This window comes from Homo sapiens, chromosome X (assembly GCF_000001405.40).
Source record: "Homo sapiens chromosome X, GRCh38.p14 Primary Assembly".
Lineage (NCBI taxonomy): Eukaryota > Metazoa > Chordata > Mammalia > Primates > Hominidae > Homo > Homo sapiens.
The window spans coordinates 51,597,778-51,619,225 of NC_000023.11; the positions used below are offsets into that span (position 1 = coordinate 51,597,778).

Below are 21,448 nucleotides of genomic sequence, written 5' to 3' on the forward strand. Positions count from 1 at the left end.
TGTATCCAAAGGGAAAAATGCAAACCGAAATCAGTAGTTAGGCATAAAATGTACTTTTAAAGAACAATGTTGGCTGGGGGCGGTGGCTCATGCCTGTAATCCCAGCACTTTGGGAGGCCAAGATGGGTGAATCACCTGAAGTCAGTTCAAGACCAGCCTGGCCAACATTGGGAAACGTTGTCCCTACTAAAACTACAAAAATTGGCCGGGAGTGGTTGTAGGCACCTGTAATCCCAGCTACTCGGGAGGCTGAGACAGGAGAATCACTTGAACTCGAGAGGCAGAGGCTGCAGTGAGCCAAGATTGTGCCACTGCACTCCAGCCTGGGTGACAGAGCAAGACTCCATCTCAAAAAAAAAAAAAAATGCTGTCCTGTTTCCCAGTACCTACCCCCACTTCACTGAACTTGGAATCCAAGGTTCACTACTTTTCCAAGTATTAGACTGGAGTGTGGAAATGTTATTGAAAAAATGTGTAACTACCAGACAGATCCAGGCCAGAAACCCAGAAATATTTTTTTTTAATTTAACCGTGTGCATTCATTTTAGGCAGACTAGGTGGACACACATAGGTATGCACACAGACATACACATGGTACAGTAAGAGGGTCTCATAAAACTTCAAGGTACAGTAAGAGGGTCTCATAAAAATTCAACGCTGGAAATAGTTGTTTCCAATCCGGAAGGCACTGTGCCAAGCAAACAGGGATGTCTGAAACCTTTGAACACTGATTTTAAACCAATTGACTCTGAATTGATTTACACAGAAATATTGACACAAACACTTATTGAATACTTAAGATATGCCAGCACTATTTTAAGTGTTATGCACTGACTTAATTCTGACAGCAATCTTTTTTTTTTTTTTCTGGGACGGAGTCTCACTCTCGCCCAGGCTGGAGTGCAACGGCCTGATCTCGGCTCACTGCAACCTCTGCCTCCCGGGTTCAAGCGATTCTCCCGCCTTAGCCTCCAAGTAGCTGGGATTACAGGCATGCACCACCACGCCTGGCTAATTTTTGTATTTTTAGTGGAGACGGGGTTTCGCCATGTTGGCCAGGCTGGTCTCTAACACCTGACCTCAAGTGATCCGCCCGCCTCGGCCTCCCAAAGTGCTGGTATTACAGGCGTCAGCCACCGTGCCCAGCCTCTCACAGCAACCTTATGTTAAAAGAAAGACTTCAGCTGAATTCAATTTAAAGGAGTTTAATTGAGCAATGAATGATTCGCAAATCAGGCAGTCCCCAGAATCACAGCAGATTCAGAGAGACTCCAGCGCAGCCACATGGTGGAAGAAGATTTATAGCAAAAAAAAGGGAAGTGTCATACAGAAATCGGAAGTGAAGTACAGAAACAACTGGATTGGTTACAGCTCCGCGTTTGCCTTAATTGAACACAATTTGAACACTTAGCAGTCTATAAGCAGTTGAAGTATGGCTGCTGGGATTTGCCAAGACTCAGCTATTGTTACAGGGCATACTCCTAACTTAGGTTTTCAATCTTGTCTACCTATTAAGTTAGGTTACAGTTTGTCCACAAGGACTCAAATTTAGAAGTATGGAGTCCTTCTCAGGCCATATTTAGTTCGTTTCAACACTTATAATGCAGGTACTATTATTTTCTAAATATCACGCTTGAGGAAACCAAGGGACCTCGGTCAACTTAAACAGCTAGTAAATGGTGGTGCTGAGATTTGAATCCAGGCATAGGTATGGCCCTAGTACCCATTATTTTAACCCAGTACAGTACACTATTGCCTCTCCATTTGTGAAAAGAAAAAAAAAAAGACGGAAAGTCCTTTTTATATGGAAATACAGATAGGATTTTAAAAACAGGCCCCAGAAAACCTTACACAACACTTTCTGCTATTAAACCATTCTCTTTCCTTCTTCCCCTTCTCTCTCCTTCCCTTTTCCCTCTCCAGTCCATCAAATCCTTGCTATGGAATATCACGCACTCCTAAATCCAACTGCTCCTTTGACATTCTTTGGCCACAACCTTAAAATAAATGGCCACCCTAGGATAGATGGGGTTAAAACCACAAAAAAAGAGTCTTCTTGGCATGCTAGAGTGGCTGCAGTCTAGGAGGCTTTCTGGAAAATGGAGGTGATTCTCCAGAAAATGGAGGTTTGTTTTTCTGGAAACAAAATGTCATGGTTGTCAGGTTACTGATAAGGGGACTATTAGGAAAATTGGGTCCCAAATTTATTCGTAAGGCAAGTAGGGGTGCAGGACGTGAAAAGAAGGTGGGTTTCCCTGTATGCTGGGTGTAATGGCCTAATTATTTCTACTACATGCAAAATACAACACTGCTTCTTGGGTTCCTCAAAATACTCAGGCCCTGGGCACTGAATAGTGTGTGCACGGATGAGGGCTGTCCCCCTTAGAGTGATGATTGGTAATGATAGGTGATTCATGAAAAAAAAAAAGTACAGAAGGTTACAGGGCAGAGGATGGCAAAGGGACAGGTTGGAGAATCTGTTTTTTTTAAAAAGTTATCTGGTTGGTGGTCAAGGACTGGAGGTGGAGAAGAGTGGAGGGGTTGAAGAGGATTGTCTTCTCTGTGAAAAGGGTTTTATAGGTTATTTCTAGTATAGCACACTCTTGTGGGAATAAATGTTCATTTGAATTTTTGTGAAATTCTAAAAATAGTTTCTAACATTCACTTGGTAAAGAATTCAGTAACTTTCCAAGTGAATATGTATATTGATCAATAGGTTCCCAATCCATTTTTACCTAAATGGTAGCACACTGTACAAACTACTCTGTACCTTGCTCTTTTGAATTAGCACTGTAACCATAGACAACCAGAAAAAAACCTAAGTATTTATCAAAGTGGGCAATGGTTAAAAGAATTATTCTATATCCATGAAATTGAGTATCATGGAGATATTAGAAATGGTGATGCAATCATATATTGACATTAAAATTATATTCATCTTCTAAGGTCAAATGAGAAAAGCAGCTTTTGAAACAGAGATGTGTGTGTACACATGCAAATGCATAGTTAGAAGTTTAGAGAGATATAAACACACAAAAATTGTTGACTGAACATCTCTGAATGATGGCATTACAGATGATATGTTTCCCTATTTTATGTGCATTTTGTAATGTTTGGGATTTGCTACCATTTGGTTCATTACATATTTAATTTTTAATTATGTAATACTTTCACAGAATTTTTTAAAATCAGCAAATAACAAAAGGTATAGATTAAAAAGTCCCCATCCTGTCCCAGGATCCTGCATCCCTAGCTCCCTAGTTCCCATTCCTAGATTAGGAAATTCAACATTCAAATGAATAAAACAAGTTTCTCATGATATAGTGTATATATGGAGAGGCAGGGATGCTGTATTAGCAAATAAGCTCAATATATTATTGCCACGGCTAGGAGAGAAATCTGTTCTTCGTGTGAACCAAGCTCTCTCTGACTTGTTCAGGTCCTCAGATATACTGTTCCAACTAACTGGAAAACTTGCCCTTCCCTTTACACCTGGCTGTCTTTTTACTGTTCCAACTAACTGGAAAACTTGCCCTTCCCTTTACACCTGGCTGTCTTTTTACTGTTCCTTCAAGTCTCAGCTGATAAATCTCTTCCTCCAAGAGGCCAGCGTAAACTAGCAGGGATTTCCATCCTGTGCTGTCTCAAAGCACTCTGTATTTCTTGTATCTCAGAAAGCACATATACCCTTTGCTGTAGCTTCTTTTTTCTTTTCTGTCTCTTAGCAAACAGCACAAACCCAGCATGAAGCTTGTTCATTTTTGCATCTTAGAATCTAACATGATACCCAGCCAGCAGGTTTGGGAAAATCTATCTCATTTGGGTCACAAAGACCAATACAAAAACTTTGTTCCCATCATTTCCTCATCATCCAACATATGTTAGAGCTGTTTGAAAGGCATAAATAAAGGAGTTGACTTTTTGGTGGATGGAAAATGGTAAAAGTTTATTACTAATATCTGAAGTGGACCAAGATGTTACTCAGGCTTAAAAAATGTAATTAGAAATAGAATTTGAGGGCAGGAGACTTCTGGAAATGGTTTCCTTACTCTTAAAAAGAGACATACAGGGCTGGGAGCAGTGGCTCACACCTGTAATACCAGCACTTTGGGAGGCTGAGGCGGGTAGATCACGAGGTCAGTAGTTCGAGACCAGCCTGGCCAAGATGGTGAAACCCGTCTCTACTAAAAATACAAAAATTAGCTGGGCATGGTGGCAGGCGCCTGTAATCCCAGCTACTCGGGAGGCTGAGGCAGGAGAATTGCTTGAACCCAGGAGGTGGAGGTTGCAGTGAGCCAAGATCGTGCCACTGCACTCCAGCCTAGGCAACAGAGCAAGACTCCATCTCAAAAAAAAAAAAAAAAAAAGACATACAGGTGAAAACGACCTTTTTCTTTTCTTTTCTTTTTCTAATTAAGAAAACACATTGGTTTTTCTATTACTCAAGGTTTAATCAAATAAACAAAACCAGCAGGAGATATACATATACACACACATACACATTCAAGTGACTGGCTTACATAATTGTGGGGGCTGGCTATATAAGTCCAAAGTCCATAGAATAGTCAGTCAGGAAGTAAAGATCACGAGTAGGCTAGAGTCTCCTCAGGTATGGGATGAAGCGGTTTCTACAAGTACAAGCGTCTCTTTTCCCAAGGAAGGCCTAAGCCCCTTTTTAGGGCCTTCTAACCGATTAAGTCAGGCCCACCCAGGACAATTCCTCTAACTCAAAGTCAACTGATTAGGGTATTCTAGTACATCTGGAAAATCCCTTTGCAGCAGAAGCTATATTTGTGTTTAAATAACTGGGAGTAGTGTGTATGCCATAGAATGGCTGCTACTTCCCTTCCATCTTCTAATTCACACAAGAGATTATCTCTAGTAGCCCACTTATCAAGAAACATAATAGAAAGTTAATTCTGGGGAATGTAATTTTGCCTACCCAAGTTGACACACCACAGAGTTATTATATCCTCTATAGAATGCACCATCCAGGACTTTTCCCAGAACTTGATGAGAGGTAGACTTGTTTTGGGAGATGAGCAAAGGAATTATGAAAGTTTATTTCTTCTTTGTTTCAGGCAGTCTTCTTTTTATACTGGAAGCAGTTGTGCCTAGAATTGATGCCTGGAAGTCTTATTGCAGAGAAAGCATTCTAACCGAAGTGTTTTTTGATGTCAGAGGGCTCATTTCCTGGAATTCCTAGAGACAGAAATCTTCTGACTTCAAGAAACCCAGACACCCTGAAGAGAAGTCAGCCAAGACGCGGGCTTCCCAAATAACCTACCCAGAATGGTACAGTTGCCTCCAATACCCACTGGAGGTCACAACTTCACTGCTGATATCATCAGCTGTTGTCCAGTGGGAATAGAAGTGAATCCTTTACAACCTATTTTAAGTCCTCATAGCACAAAGTATATCAATATAAAATAGGTCCAGGACTTAGTTGTGTGGTCAAAAGGGATAAGATAGAAAGGACAATGATCCTTCCCGCATGATCTATACTGGACTGAAACCCCAGTGGCTACCGGCATACTGATGTGAATAGCTCTTCTTGAAGCATGGCAGGTATGCTTGGGTGCCCAAGATTCCTGTCCAGGCAGAGCAGTAAGAGTAGTGTTAAACCTTAGGGCCTCGTTGCAATTGGATTGATTGAACCCAAGCTGTAGCAGCAATAGTTTATTTATGTCCACTTATGAACTCTTGTCCTTCAGAGAAAATGCAGGATTTCATTGCTCCCGGAGGGTGAGTTTGGAAATCTGCAATTGCACTATTTTTAGGCAGAACAGAGGAGTTTCTGTTTATTTTTGGTTAATTACTAATACTTCATATTGCCTCTACAGCCCCTCCCCCATCCATTTCCTCAGACATGGAAATTTTGCTCTCTCTGAACCCTTTCTGTGAGCGCTGTAATACCAAAAGCCAGCACTAAAATATAGGGATCCTCCTTAGAATACAGCAGGAAAAGAAAACAATTTCTTTCTCATTTCTCAAAAGGAGACATATATTAGTTTTATCATATAGTGGTAATCAGCTATAGCACCTCTGCTATTTTGTAGTTTTTAAAGAATTTTACAACTATTTGTTTTTCATTGTATTTATTTTTAGTTATAATCTATGATATGAAACATTAGTTTTCCATTCTTGATCATGATGTGGGGCTTCTTTTAAACTGTATTTAAATTTAAAGTTTATATGGTTTCAATGGAAATATTAATCGAATGATTATTCAGGTGGTATTTGGATATGTTAAAAATCCTAAAGATGGTACGTGAATGACCAAGATCTGGGAAAAGCAACTTTGATTCACTGTGACAGATACCATATGCAATGTCTCAGTAAAAGGAGTCAAAGTTCTTCTTCCTCAGTACCTCATAACTCACCACAAGAGTTAATCTGGTACCTGATACACAAAGCTACACATTGGTACTAATAGTGGTGGCACTTGTTTTTCTCATTCCAGATTGGGTTAGGGAGCTTGTTTTCCTATCAGTGTCACTACTAAGGTTAATTAATTAATTCAACAAATAGTCAGTATGCCTATTAGGTTTCAACCAGTGACCTGTATGCCGGATCTGTAAATACCAAGGAAATATGGCCTTTGTCCTATCTACAGAAACAGGGGAGCACAAAGAAGGGACATAGAGAAACAGGAGAGAAGCGAAATAGACAGAGAAGATGTGGCTACAGAAGTTGGAGGAAAACTATCAGAACTATCTCTTGTGAATACAAGAGTGCTTACCTGTACTTGACAATTCCACTGATACCTGGGTTCACACCATCAAATATATCTATGTAAGCCTGAATGATGCTTATACCTTTTACTTATAAAATAAAATATTCTAATTAGCATGCCTATATACATCCATTACCCTGCATGTGGGAAGCAATCAGTGAATTATTCAGTTCAATCTCGTCAGGAGGAAAATCACACTAACAGATACACTCAGATACATTAAGAAATCAAGAATTCAAGAATATACTGGCTCTGGAAATTATGAGAAGTATGGGGTTGAAAGACATAGACCCTTCTCTTAGTGAAGAAAATTGGAGTTGAAAGATGTCCTGTAGTCACTTGTTTAAAAGATATTATTACCAACTAACATATAATCAGTACAATAACATCTAAACTTTATTGTAAACTCTGTGTAGAATGTTCCATATTCTTCACAGAATAAATGTTTACTGAAGACCTTCAGGGCACTAGTTTCCAGGTACTGTGAGTACACATGATGATTCAAGTTTGGTCCCAGGCTCAAAGAACCCACAGTCTAATGGACACAGATAATTACAGTACTGATGTGTGGGAAGCAGGAAAGCTACAAGAGCAGGGGATGTTGGGAAAACAGAGGTGGGCCCCTTTAATCCATGTGGTCTCAGTAGGGGGCTTCTTTAGTAGGTAGGTACTATTATTATCTCCATTTGTCTGATGAGAAATTAACAGAGAGAATAGTACCTGGTATATGGCAAGCACTCAATACACATTCCTTTAAGGAATAAGTGGATGTTAAGCAACTTGCTCAAGAAAACACAGCTAGTTAGCGCTGGAGTTTTTCAGCCCCAAATCTGACTGCCTCAAAGCCCTGTGCTGCTTCCAGTATGCTGATCTCTCTCTTTGCCAGTAATGTCACTCATACTGTGGAGAGCTACTCTCCCTCTGAGGATTCAACCTGCCATAGAGAGCAGTGAGAGAAGGGGCAGGTACAGTTTCCAAGCCTTTCACATTGGATGAGGCACCGAACTTCCAGAGAAGATGCTTCTGATGTCACTGTCATTTTCTGAGCTGTCTGGTCTTTCTACACTCATTAAAAAGTTAGGAAGGTGTACTGCATGCGTCTTGGCTTCAGGAAAACTCCTTTTAGTGCTGACTTAGAGGCTCCTGTCACATTATAAGGGTGCTGGGTCCTGCTGAATTTTTAGATTGTCCGGGAGAAAATGGTTTTCCCAGGAAGATGGCTATCTTATCAGGAATGCCATGTCCTGCTCTGCAGCACTGTGGAAAGGATGCCATAATCGAAAACTAAGGTATTATCTCAGGCTGTGAAATGTAACATGTGTAATTATAAACAAGATTGTTAACTGTTTGCTTACCTGTTCTGCCCTCCTTGAAATGAAATTGTCCAGTCCAGGTCTAACTTCAAAGCCTTTTCTCTTTTCTGAAAGTAAGAGCTTCCAAAAGTGTGGAACACAGAAAACTGGTGATGTTCATAATAATTTTAGTGCTACTTGGACATTAAAATTTTAATAGTTGTATATGTGTTTTACTTTTCAGTAAACATGTAGTATATCACAGCCACATCAAGATCTTTGTGTGGTGATTGGGGAAGAGCATTGATATTACACACTCCATGGAAAATCACCATAACATTTCCTTTCAAGATCTCTGATCTTTCCCTCAGATTTCCTACCCTGTTGGCAATTGCGCAGTTTTTTCTCACTGTTTAAATCTTTCATCCATTATCAGACTTCTTGTTTCCCCAAGAATAGAAGCCATCCTTCTGTCCTCCCCTTCTGTCATCTGTTTTTACAGAAGCAGAATCTAAGGTTGTGATTTGCATTCTTTCAACCAGGAACCATTTCTGCAATAAAGGACCCTCCTCAGAACACAATCTTTGGCTGACAGCAAGATATTGTAAACGATGAATTTTTTCTCTCTCAGAAAGCATACAAACAAATTTCCCCACCCCTAAAAGACAGAAATTATAACTGCATTTCAGGAAGAAAAAAACACCATACCTCATCTCATTGGGTGTCCTGAGCATTTTGCCACAGGATCTAGGGAGAGGTCTCAGGGATGAGAAGTTGGCTGATAGTGTTGAGATCATAAATTCCATAAAGTGTGTCGGAGAGAATGTTGGTGGATAATTAAGCTGACAACGGCCTACACTGCTTACTCAGCAGTCTGTGGGCTTTGGCATCATATGACTGTGGGTGTCCATCCTAAATCTGTGGCATAGCAGATTTGGGCATCTTTTCTAACTTCTCTGGTCTCAGTTTTCTCATCTTGAAAAATGGAAATGGTATTATGCATTCTGAGTTGCTTTATGAGGATTGGATGAGATAATACATATGAAGTGTTTAGTAGTATAGAAATCTATTATTTATTTCATTTTTATTTCATTTTAATAAAAAGGGTGAAGAATAAAATATTTAATTGAAATAAATTGATTTAAGTAATTTAAGGAAATTTTTCAATAAAAAATTAAAAAAAAAACCTTTTAAACATTTTATTGTATTTCTTTTTGAAGTTATCTTTCCTACCCTGATTGTCCACTTTTATAGTTACATATGTTACTTTAAGTTACTTTCAATTTTAAGTAATTCTGTTTCACTGAAAATATTAGAAAAAAATCAGCACAATGGTATCTATACTAGTAAAAAATCTTAAAAGTGGTGAATGCATGACTGAGTTCTGAGAAATGTTAACCTGAGTTATGTCCTGTGGTGTGCACTGTGCTAGCTATGATGAGGGATGACACTGAGAACATGAATCAGAATTCCCTGCTCCCTCAATACCTCATATGCAATGGAAAACTTTACTTGACATCTAATACACAATAGCCAAATTATGGTACCTATTGTACTAATCCCAGATTGGAAGATAGTTTTCTGTTGCTATGAGTAGCACAGTAAAATATCAATTCAATAAATACTCGATAATGCTTATTGTATTTCAGTCTAGATTTCCTGAGGTCTAGTGGGTAAAGGCCAATGCATACACAGAACATAAAAATGGGACTGTAAGTGATGAATTAAAAGCCTTTGCCTGGCACATCAAAAAGACAACTACCAGGAAGAAGAAAATTCAAATAGATTAAAAAGGAGTTACCACAGGAGTATGAGGAAAACCAGGAAAGTCATCTCCTTGTGAGTGTGAAAATGTTCACTTATGTTGACAGTTTCACCAGTCATTGGATTCACATATTTAATTCTGTCAGAATGATGTCTATGAATTTAAACTCTGACATAAAATAATACAATTAGCAGGCTTGTATTAACTCAACAAGTTTTTTTCTTCCAATAAGTATTTATTAAAGACTCATTGTGTATCACAGTTTGTATTTGAGAAAGTTTTAGTAAATCATCAATGGCCACCCTAAGGCCAGATCAGTGAATACGATAATAATGAGTTGACCAAGATTCATCAAGAGGCAAATACGTTAGGTGTGGAAGGTCTGGAGGGTTCTAAACCCAGGGTGTGGATGAAAAGCCCAAATCCCCCTTGAAATGAAGTTTGAATGCGGTGGTAGAACACTAGCTATCCTTTACTGAGGGGTGGGTCACACAATAAACATTTACAGAACATGACTGGGCTTTTTGGACATGGAGAAGAACCAAGCCAAGGCTACAAAGTGCTTTTAGTCTAGTGGGCAGACAGTTATACAGAAATGTAATTGCCAAACATTTTGATGAAAATACTGACAGGGCTGAGAAGATGAGTCACTGGAAACACAGAGGAAGGCCTCTAAAAACCAGGCTGAGGGTGTGTGGGTGTGATCAAGCTGTACAAAAGTTTAACTTGGTCAGGGACACAGAGCTAAATAGCAGTGTGGTCAGTTTTCATCACTGGATCAGCCTGATTCCAATGCTCTGTGCAGTTTATTCCAAGTTCACGCCTACAACAAGGCCATCTGTTTTCATTTGGAACTTAAAGGTGCACTTCCCCTGGCTCTGCTTTCACTTTCCATCATGCTTCCTTCTCCTTTCAGACTCACCATAAAGTGAAATAGTTGATCCCAGCCTGTTGGCTTCAGAGCAGCAATTTTGAGCTCTTTCCTAGCACTTTACAGCGATGCTCTTTTCTGCTGAGTGCTGAGATTTTTTAGGCATGAACTCTATTGGAAACATCACACGTGTCTCATCAGGAAGGGCAGGTATATTTCAGCAAGTACAGTATACATGAACTGTTGTCATAGTGAGTGGACAGAGGTCTGGCTTTGGAGACAGACAAATATGGATGCAAACCCCTGCTCCATTACCTACTACCCAAGTTACTGAACAGGGTAGTTACTGAAACTACCCTGTTTGCTCATCTGTAGAAAGCAGAGAAGGTAGGAATTGATAAAAATCTCTCAGGGTAGGCTGGGAAAGAAAAATATGCACTCCTTGAGATTATCTGTTTATGTTTCTGACTGTTAAGAGTGTGAACTCCCAGAGGACAGGGATGCCATCTGAGTCATCTCTGTGCCTTAAAAACTCCATAACCACATCCAACCAGAGCAGTCTCAGCACATTTTTCTTGTGCAGAGCTGAATCAGGCCTCAGCTGCTTCTGCTCCAAAGCGATGGTGCTTATTTTGAAGATCCTTTCTTGCATCCTAGAGGTCTATGAATACTACTCATATGCCAACGTTGATGAGAATCTCCACAGAGGAAGATATATTTTGCTCCATTGTGACTTTTGCCGTGTCTGTTTCCATTTGCATTTTTGAGCCACACTTGGATACAGCTGAACCAGAAATAATTTCTCGTTCTCTCTGCCATATTAAATTTTATACACAGACAATTCAAGAGGCAGGTCTCAGGCCTTTTAAAGGTATAAGGCTTTATTGGCAGAAAGACTGGAATGTGAACAACAAAAGCTTTCCTTACTATATCTGCCAGTAGCAAGCCATAATATGTCGATTTTAGCCCTAATCCCATTGTGCTGTAAACAGTGGTAACGTGTATGTCTTATTAACTGAACTGTGAGCTTCCAGAGGCCACGAAATGTATTTATTCTTGTTTATTCCTCTTTTTATTCCCAGCACCCATGACAGTGCCAGGCACATAGAGGACATTCAATAAATGGTTCTTAAGTAAATGAATGAGAGCATTTGTGAGTTTTATATAAGAACCATACAGAGGAGGTGGCAGGCTAAGAGTGGTTCTAAAGCAATGCTGATGTTACACAACTTGCAAGTGAGAGAGACAGAAGCCTCTAGATCTGCTTGAATCCAGAAGCCTGCAGTCTTAGTTGTATTGGCTTTACTAGACTCTGGGACTCCCTGAAGCTTACCTTGGCCACTTTCCATGGTACTCAGAATTCAGAAAGGAGCCCTGTTTAGGATGGACTTTGTGTCCAAGGCTGGTTCATAGATTAGATTACTCATGCAATAAGTAGTTATTATTCACTTAATATGATTAGCTATCCCTCCAGGTGCTGGGAATTTAGCAGTGAAGAAAACTGAGACTGTTCCTTGAGTAAATGTCCCTGCTCTATGAAAGCTGGTATTCTAGTTCAAAGAGAAAGAAAACAAACAAACAAATGCGCAACAAGGCTCACTAAACAGTATTTGAGGATTAATTATTGTGAGATAGGAGTTTAGCAAATTGCAGATGAATTTAATACATGAAAGCAAACAACATAATATCCTCTTATTTATCTTATGGAAGTAATTAATAGCAAGTGATATTTTTGAATTAAATATACGATTATATAAGTAAAACAGTATAAAGATTCTTGAATTTTGGGAACAAATATCTGATTAAATAGCTATTGCTTCAAGTCTCTTTCACCAACTCACACAGCTTCTGGGAGCAGAAAAACACTTTGATGGAGAGAACGTCTGAGTAATACATTCTTTCTCTAGCTGTGATATCATTACAGATTCAGCCTTGTCAAATTATGTTGAATTTTAAATACAAACTGAGTCCTCATGAACTAGTCACCAGGTATTTTATGCATACTTATTATGGGGTTAACATTAAATTGGGTACCAGAGGTACAAGGGAATGCTAAATCATTCTCTGCCTTCAATGATCATATAGCCTTGTTGGGAAGACAATGCGATTTGACCTTTTACACTGGTAGAACTCAAGACAGTTTGAGCTACAGTGCAGGGAATGGAATCTAGATTCATAAATACCCTTGATCATCACTTACTGGTTTTGTGACTCTGGACATGATCTTGCACTCCTCTGAGCTTATTTGCCTTTGTGTAAGTTAGAGATAATAAAATCCACCTTTCAGGGTTACCAGGAAGATGAGAAATGACTCCTGTACACAGTAGAATCAGAGTATTATTAGTCTGGTACATTATGTGAACATCAAAGATTAGCACAGAGCTATTGGTATAGATTAGGCATTATTACTCATCTATAGTTTTATGGTCAGAAAATGGGAGTGGAAAATAATTAAATACAACCTGATCCATACAAACAGGACAAACAGAAATCCTTAGAGTAGATTAAATATTGATCTAACAATGTGATGGTCTAGCTAGCACCAGGAAACATGCAGTCTAGCAACACAGTAGATTGGTAAGGTGCTAGCCACTAGAGTCAGAAATAATCAGTTTTAGGATGACAGGTGATAGGTGCTCATAGCAGTAGGGGAATTCAAGATATCCTGAGATGAGAGATGACTATGTTTCAACATCCATTTTAATGCATACAGCAACAATATAAGGTAGATACTGTTTTATACCCCATTTACGTATAAAGAAACCTGAGACTCAGAGGCTAATGAACTTGCCTAGAAATACCTAGCCAGTAAAGGAACAGGTTATGATTCAGACCTAGGCACTCTGATTCCAGTACTTAAGACATACCTGGGGCTACTTTTCTAAACGTTTCACATGTACTATCTAATGTAATCCTTACAGTTGCAGAATTTTTATTAAAAAGCACAGTTCTCACTCAGAAAGAAAGAAGGATTTGCATAAAAAAGAATTTCAAGCCCAGAAATACTAAGATTACAGGTGTCAGGAATAGTAACATCCAGCCTACTTCCAGCCTTTCTCTCTCTCTCTCTCTCTCCTTCCCTCCTTTCTTTTCTCCCTACTTCCTTCTCTCTCTCTCCCTCTCCCACCCTCCCTCCTTCTTTCTCTTTCCTCTCCATTCCTCCCTCATTCAAATCCAAGCAATAGAATATTACCAAGGGCTCCTTTAACATTCTTTTGCCATGAAGTCAAAGAACTGCTCCTGCAGAGAAAAGGGTTAATTGAGACCACAGAGAAGAACAGTTCACCAAGCATACTAGAGTTTCTGCCCTGGTAAAACATACCCAAAGATGATGGTGACTGATTGGAGCCAGGGATTCCTGGAAACTAAGAACTTTACATTTAGGGCAAGGGACTTGAGATTTAAAGGAAAGGTAATGTTAGGGAAACTGGGTTGTAATTTTAGTCCTGGGAGTCAGTTGGAGGGGGAGCGTAGAAGGTAGGGTCATCTTTGTGATGGACTGGTTCGGTTTTGTCTCAGGGTTACATGAATCTGTGGAGAGAAGCCAGCAGTCTGCTGTAGGCAGCTCATACCAACTCACTAGAGCTGATGATTAAAAATTAAATTATATGAACTTACAATAAAATAAATTATATTAACAACAAAGAGGCCAGGCGCGGTGGCTCACAGCTGTAATCCCAGCACTTTGGGAGGCTCAGGAGGGCGGATCACGAGGTCAGGAGATCGAGACCATCCCGGCTAACACAGTGAAACCCCGTCTCTACTAAAAATACAAAAAAATTAGCTGGCCGTGGTGGCAGGCGCCTGTAGTCCCAGCTACTCAGGAGGCTGAGACAGGAGAATGGCATGAACCCAGGAGGCGGAGCTTGCAGTGAGCCGAGATCCTGCCACTGCACTCCAGCCTAGGCGACAGAGCGAGACTCCGTCTCAAAAAAAAAGAAAAAAACAAACAAAGATAAAATACTCAAAATGAATGGGGCTCCTATTTCTCTTATTACGTTTTACTATTCTCTGTGTTCTTGAAGGGATTTGTGTTTTTCATCTGTACCGTGGAAGTGTTGTGGAATAGTATGCCGCTGCTCATCTGGTCTCAGGTGTGTATTCAGTGACTTCACATTGGTAGCTTGAAGTAAACCATGGTGGGGGAATTTACAGCACCCAGAAATCAGGCCTTCATTTGTTGTTATGTTGATAGACTAGAATTAATGAAATGATGTAGAAAATGTTAATAATGCTGATTAAACTTTAATGCGTTTTGTGTCTGTAGCCACTACATTGTGAATAGAATAGCATAGAAAATTGAGGAGCTATTATTTTTGTATTTAAAGACTATTGTTCAGTTTGCCAAAGAAGTCACTAGAGTCATTGATGAATAAGTGAAGTTCTTGATGAATAAATGAAGTTCTGATATGGTTCTTTGTTATATGACTCTTACTTGTTAACATAAACAAGTTAAAACCCCAAATTTATGCTAGAACTACACTTGGAGAGATGCTTGCTAGGTATTTACCAGTATATATCTGGCCAATACCTTCAACTCCTGCCGCATCCCATGCACACCAAATGACCTGGTCTCCCAGCACTGACTAGTGGTTCCAGAGCAGTGGGCATTGCAAGTGACATCAGAAGGGATGGTTAGAGAAAATGGGATATAAGGCCTTGAAGGGAACAGGAAAGGGCAAACTGAGGAGGGGATGAAGGGGTGGAGGAGCTAGCCCATTTCTACGAGTACATATGTGTGAGAATATATAGCTAATGTTTACTTAGAATGTGTTTCTTTACAAACTTCAATGCATATTCCATGCATATTCAAGGATATATATTTGTACATGCATGTACGTAAATAGGCATTCAAGCACATAACTACAATAGAGTTAATCAATTTTATTTATTCATTTTTAAACAGGTTAATGCATGGACATATTAATGTGTATGTGCAATGAATGCTTCAAAATTTTCAAAAACACTGGCTAATTGTTTCCCCCACTTCTTTTTACTCAAACCGTAAATACATTTTTTCAGAATTTCCCACCATTGGCAGGAAATAGCTATATTTTAAGTTATGTGCTTTCTAAATAAGTATAATTCTGGAAGTTGTAAAACCCCAATAGAAGCTCTACTTCAGTAACTGGTGCACAGTGAGTATTCTTAGCTTATGCATACACAGATATTTATTGGATAATGATATGTCAAATGATGTACGGGGCACTTGGGATTCACAAAGAATTGGGCAGTGTCCTTGCCTTCAAATATCTCACAGAAAACAGAAATTAAACAAATGTAATTTATGATCTGGTACTGGGACCAGGATAGAAGTCTGATCTTCATGTATGTCACACTCTCTCCAGCTTCTAAGACCTCATATATATTATTCCACTCTCTGGAAAATTCTAGTTCTGCTTTTCACCTAACTCCTATTTATTTGCTATATCTCAGATAGCGTGTCTCTTCTTTTGAAAGGCTATATCTTGCCTCCATCTTGATATATACTGTCAGAACATCTTGAATTCCCCTACTGCTATGAGCACCTATCACTGTTTGTTGTAGTTTCTTGTTTTGTTGTCTTCCTCAACAGACCATGAGCTCCACAAGGACTGAGATCAAGGATGCCTTACTCATTTCTATATCCAGGAGCCTACTTCAGTACCTGCCATACCAGTGTGAGGAAAGACACTATGACAGCTGGAGGGCTCAGTTCATAGGATGGGGATAAAAAACAGTTAGAAAAAAATGAATCCATGCCAATTTCCTATTCATATATCACAGTCAAAGTTGCATGATCGGACATGACTAGATGCTGGAAATTCACTGATGTAGGTTGTATTCTTAATATTCAAATAGTCGAGGATTTTATTTAGCAAGGAAATAAAATTTGGGAGCAATGATTTTATGAAAGATGTCCTATTTCACGGAAAGGACACAGAAAAAAACAGTGCCTCTTTCTCTTCTTGATTCTATTCTTCCTGGTTGTAATTCCTAGAATGCTTATTATAGAGGAAAGCATCCTAACTACTGGGCTTCTTTCCCAGAGATTCTGAGGAAGCAAGCGTCATCCCATTCCCTATGAATTTCTCAAGTGTTAAAGTAAAATCATCCAACAATGTGCCATCACTTATAACGTCCACTGGAGGGCGATATACTACTGCTGGTACCACCTTCTATAGCATAGCCCGCGAGGACTAACTTTAGTTTCCTAACAATGTAATTATAAGTCCTCATAGTGCAGAACACCTAATAAATAAAAGAAGCCTTTTCAGTAGATGTGAAGATACAGATGAGAAGATGGAAATGGCACCAGCCCTGCGCCCACCTCCCATTTCCTTACCTATGACCCCAGGGTAGACCAGGTTCCCAGGGGTCCTGTAATACTTCCCCTCCATGCTGACTTGTGACTAACACAGAACACAGAGCTAATGGTTTCACCTAGAACATGGCCGGTCTCTTTAGGTTCCTGGGTATCTCATCCTGGAGAGAGGACAAGATTAGGAGATGAGTGTTATTATCATAACAATTTTAGAGATGAGGACACTAAAACTGAGGTCCAAATAAGTTTATTAACTGGCCCAAGAATAAACTTATTAACTGGCCTCTTTTCTGTGCTCCCACAGCACCCCACTTTTTCCTAGTCACACTGTATTTGGAGGCTTTCTCATTCGCTAAATGGAAGTGATAAGGACCTAGAGACTGTGTTTTTTGTTCACTGTTCTATCTTAGCATGGAAAACAGTGCTGGGCAGCCAGGAGGCATAAAGTGGAGGAAGGCTAGGCAGAGAATAGGGTATGAGGTGGGAGAGGATGAGGTTCCATCTATGGTGATTCCCCTGTCACAGCTTGGATGAATGTGGATGGGGAAGAAACAGTGGATGTTGTCTGATAAATCCATTAAGAGGAGAAAGATCATGCAGCACCCTACGGATTTACTTCCTATTACTCCTTCTACCCTGTCACTGGATTGATGTAACTCTCACTTTAAGTGTCCAAAAACATCGCACCTGAGAGGGTATCCATGAAAGTATCTAAATCTTAGGATAGAGTGCAATCATGACCCTTGGTTCTATTTATCAGTGTCGTCACCTAATAAGAGCAACCATCATAGCAAATTCTTGAGTGCCTGCTGGGCGTTAGCCACTGTACCAGCAGATTATACACACGCCCTCATTTCATCCTCACAATGAAGATGAGGGTGGGCTTTTATAGATTTTTTTCTTTTTTGAGACAGAGTCCTGCTCTCTCACCCAGGCTGGAGTGCAATGGCGCAATCTCGGCTCACTGCAACCTCCGCCTCCCGGGTTCAAGCAATTCTCCTGCCTCAGCCTCCTGAGTAGCTGGGATTACAGGCGTCCGCCACCACACCTGGCTAATTTTTTGTATTTTGACAGATTTTACAAAGCTGGACAGTAGTGCATAGAAGAGTTGGGTTTTCAGCCCTTGCTCTTTCCTTGAAGTAAGAGATGCCTGAAGCATGGCACAGTGGCCACTGTCAGGGTCCATGATCACTAATGGCTCACAAACATTCATTCACAATTTTGAAGTGTAAGATATACTTCTGTGCAATAGAAAAAAAGACAGCTAACACATAAAGTAACATTAACTTTAAAGCCTCCTTTGGAAATAAAGGGGAAAACACTGACTTCCTGGAACCTGTGGTAAAATCCCCCAAAGACTCCCTTAAACACCTCTTGCTTTCCCCTATATTCCTTGCTGGATATAAGCTGCTCGTTGCTTCTCTTTCTCTCCAGTTCTTACTCAGTCATCCCCTTCCCCAACAGCTTGTTCTTTCTCAGGTTTTAGCCCCCCTCCCATTCCTTCTCACCAGCACAACAGTCCTCTGCTTGCATTCTCACACACAGAAACCAGCCTAGCATGCTTAAACTGTATGCCAAGTTAAAAGGGTGCTTGGCACTCTTGAACATGAGTCTTTAACCAAACTGATGAATGATTTGCACATGGCTTAGAGAAGCAAAAATTATCAGAACACGCTTTAAAAGTCATTCTCAGAAAAAGAGAGAAATTATATATACACATTTCTTTGGACAGAAACACTGACATGGCAGAAGCATGACATCTTGAGTCATTTTTTTCCATCCCTCTGGATCTATTCTATGCAATGGAGTGTAATATAGGTGTAACTCAGTGCAATTTGGTATTTTCTGACCACCAATATGACTGAACCACCTAAGGCATATATGCATGTTCATGTTCTCCCTTCCTCTCTCCCTCCCTACCTCAACTCAATCCCTAGGTGGAGAAGGACTGGGGCAAGCTATTCCAAAGAACAAAGGAGGAATCTTGGGGAGTAGAGCAACATGTTGGAGAAACCAGGTCACAAAAACCTTCCCTTTAGGTAGGGGTAGGGGAAGATGGAAAAGAAGAGGTATGAATTGAAAGGTGGTAGCATCTCTTATGTGAGGCATAGCCATGTCATCTCTCATATACATGGAAACACAAACTTACTTAATTGATCTCTTTTCCCTTCGTTGAAAAGGTAAGTCAAGTTAAACAATTCAACATCCAATGAAACATGTACAGAGGAGAGACAGACAGCAAGTAAAAGACATATGGAAAGAGTATCCAGGCCCTTTTACCGAAGTAGTAGAACAATGCAGACATTTATTAGAAGTTTGCTCCTTTGAAATATTATTATTACACTGAAAGTTGGAAAAAAGCTAAACATCCATCAGAGGAGGTTGATTACATAAATTATGAAAGATCCATATTTTTTAATTCTATGAAGCCATAAAATGATAATACTGATATGTATCATTGAACCCACCACTGATTGTTTGATAAAAATTTCAGATACCAAGAATTACATATAAATTAGAGTTGGTTTTGTAATATACAGCATAGAAATACATACTTTTCTATTATTAAATATTTACTGATTTCTGAATACTTACACATGTATAAGATAGGTATTTAGAAAGATTAAAGAGGGCATACAGCACACAGACGTTTCTCATTCCTATCTCCCATCTCCTTTCCCAGAGACAGTTTCTAAAACAAAACTGAGGAAAATACTAACATCATTCGTCTAATAAGAGCAATGAGGTATGTAATACTAATGAATCTTAAAACATATCATATAAAAAACACTAGATAACTGGACTAAGTAGTGCAAACGTGAATGTCTATCTAAAACACACACGTCGCACACACACGATAATGAATGGAAGACGTCCTAGCACATGTTTACAAACTGTTTGTGTGTTGCCGTCCTACACACCAGACGCAAAGCGCTGAAAACAACAAGCCTGTTCACAATAGCACCAGGAACGTACAGTACACAGGAATCATCTGCAGGTGATTTGTGACAACTGTAGGCAGAACAGTAAAAGCGAGAGATACAATGGATGGTTTGAAAAATCAGAGACACTCTTCTTCCTTATCGAATTGCAAGATTAACGTTGTACTACGCAGACAAAGGTGTGTTCAAGATTTGGATCGTAAGCGAGTTCACTGAAAACTAGCGGAGGGGAAGGGCAAATACTGGAAGGGAATCCCCGGTGTGACCAGGCCAGAAACACCTCTTTTACAGCATGGGATCTGTGCAGGTACTCGGACGCTCCCCGCAGGGCCGCCCGGGCCGGTTTCAGGCGGGCTTGCGGCCCCAATCACTGCTCCTGTTCGCGGGGACAGGCAGGGGCTGACTGGGAGGACGTCTTGTGGATGGCCTTGTGCTCCTCGGCGGCCTCCTCCCCCGGGTCGCCACCGCCGACCTCCTCGATGACCACGCTGCGCACGGTGCCCTCGTCCAGGCAGTGCGGGGCGACGCCGTACACGCGGGGGTCAGAGACAGCTGCGTGGAAACTCTGCACCCCGCACCTGCTGCAGAAGCTGTGCAGCGCCGGGTGCGTGTTGGACCGATAGGTGACGATGCTTTCTGCGCCCTGGAGCAGCGTGAAGCGCGAGGCCGGGACGAGGAAGTGGCGGTGCTGCTTCTTCCTGCACAGCCTGCAGCTGCAATCCACGACGCGCAGATCTGCAGGGGCCCAGACCGCAAAGCGGACCGCGCCGCAGTGGCAGCCCCCGGTGTGATGCACGAGGCCCGGGTACTCGAAGGTGTCCAGCAGGACCTTGGCGGCGCCCTCGCAGCTGAGGCCCCACAGTTTCCTGAACGTCTCCCAGCGCTCCCGCTGTGCGCCCAGGTCCAGCTCCTTAGGGGACTCGGCGGGCGCCGGCGGGTCCGGGAGTGGCGCGGAGGGCAGCGGATCTCTGGAGCCCGCCTCCCGGGCCCGCCGCCACCGGCGCTTCCGCCGCAACTTTCCCAGCCACCTCTTGGCCGCCGCGTGGCTCCCGACCCCGACTTGGACCCGGGGGCACTGCGCGCGGCTGGCGCCCATGACCGCGATGGCCGCGCAGGCGGCGGGAGGATCCCCGGGCCGCTTTCGCCTCCGCCGCTGAGCAGTGGCGCGGTTCCTCACTCTGCCCATGGCGCCTGCAGCCTCCGGAGCGCGTGCCCAGCCCGCTACCCCCATTTTCCCGTCAGTTGCTGAGCAGCCTCCTTGTCTGCGCCAGCAGGATTGGCCACTTGTTGAATGTGATGTAAAGGGACCCTTCCCTTGACCCTATCACAACAGCCTTTGCTGGCCCGAAATTCTGACTGAGCCTATCAGTTGCCCCTTCTCCTAAATGTTAATTTCTATTGTTGATTCAAATCATCAGCCTAACCTTAACATATTGAACCACTGAAAATACTGTAGATCTTTTAGTTAGCATGCAACAGCAGGTAGATCAGCTTAAGAAAAAAGAATTATTCATCTACTATAGAAGAGACAGAGTCAT

The 21,448-nt window shown here is 41.2% G+C and overlaps 1 protein-coding gene across 1 annotated transcript; it reads right to left on the minus strand.

Annotated features, from left to right (window-relative positions):
- Nucleotides 1-19,242: 19,242 nt before the first annotated feature.
- CENPVL3 (centromere protein V like 3) lies at nucleotides 19,243-21,135 on the minus strand. The gene has a single exon (NM_001355276.2). It carries the CDS (start codon nucleotides 21,094-21,096, stop codon nucleotides 20,278-20,280), a length of 819 nt encoding a protein of 272 aa, NP_001342205.2. The 5' UTR covers nucleotides 21,097-21,135; the 3' UTR covers nucleotides 19,243-20,277.
- Between the last annotated feature and the right edge of the window lie 313 nt (nucleotides 21,136-21,448).

Excerpts from the sequence above, each read along its gene's own strand:
- CENPVL3 (NM_001355276.2), bottom strand. The coding sequence starts at position 21,096 with ATGGGCAGAGTGAGGAACCGCGCCACTGCTCAGCGGCGGAGGCGAAAG.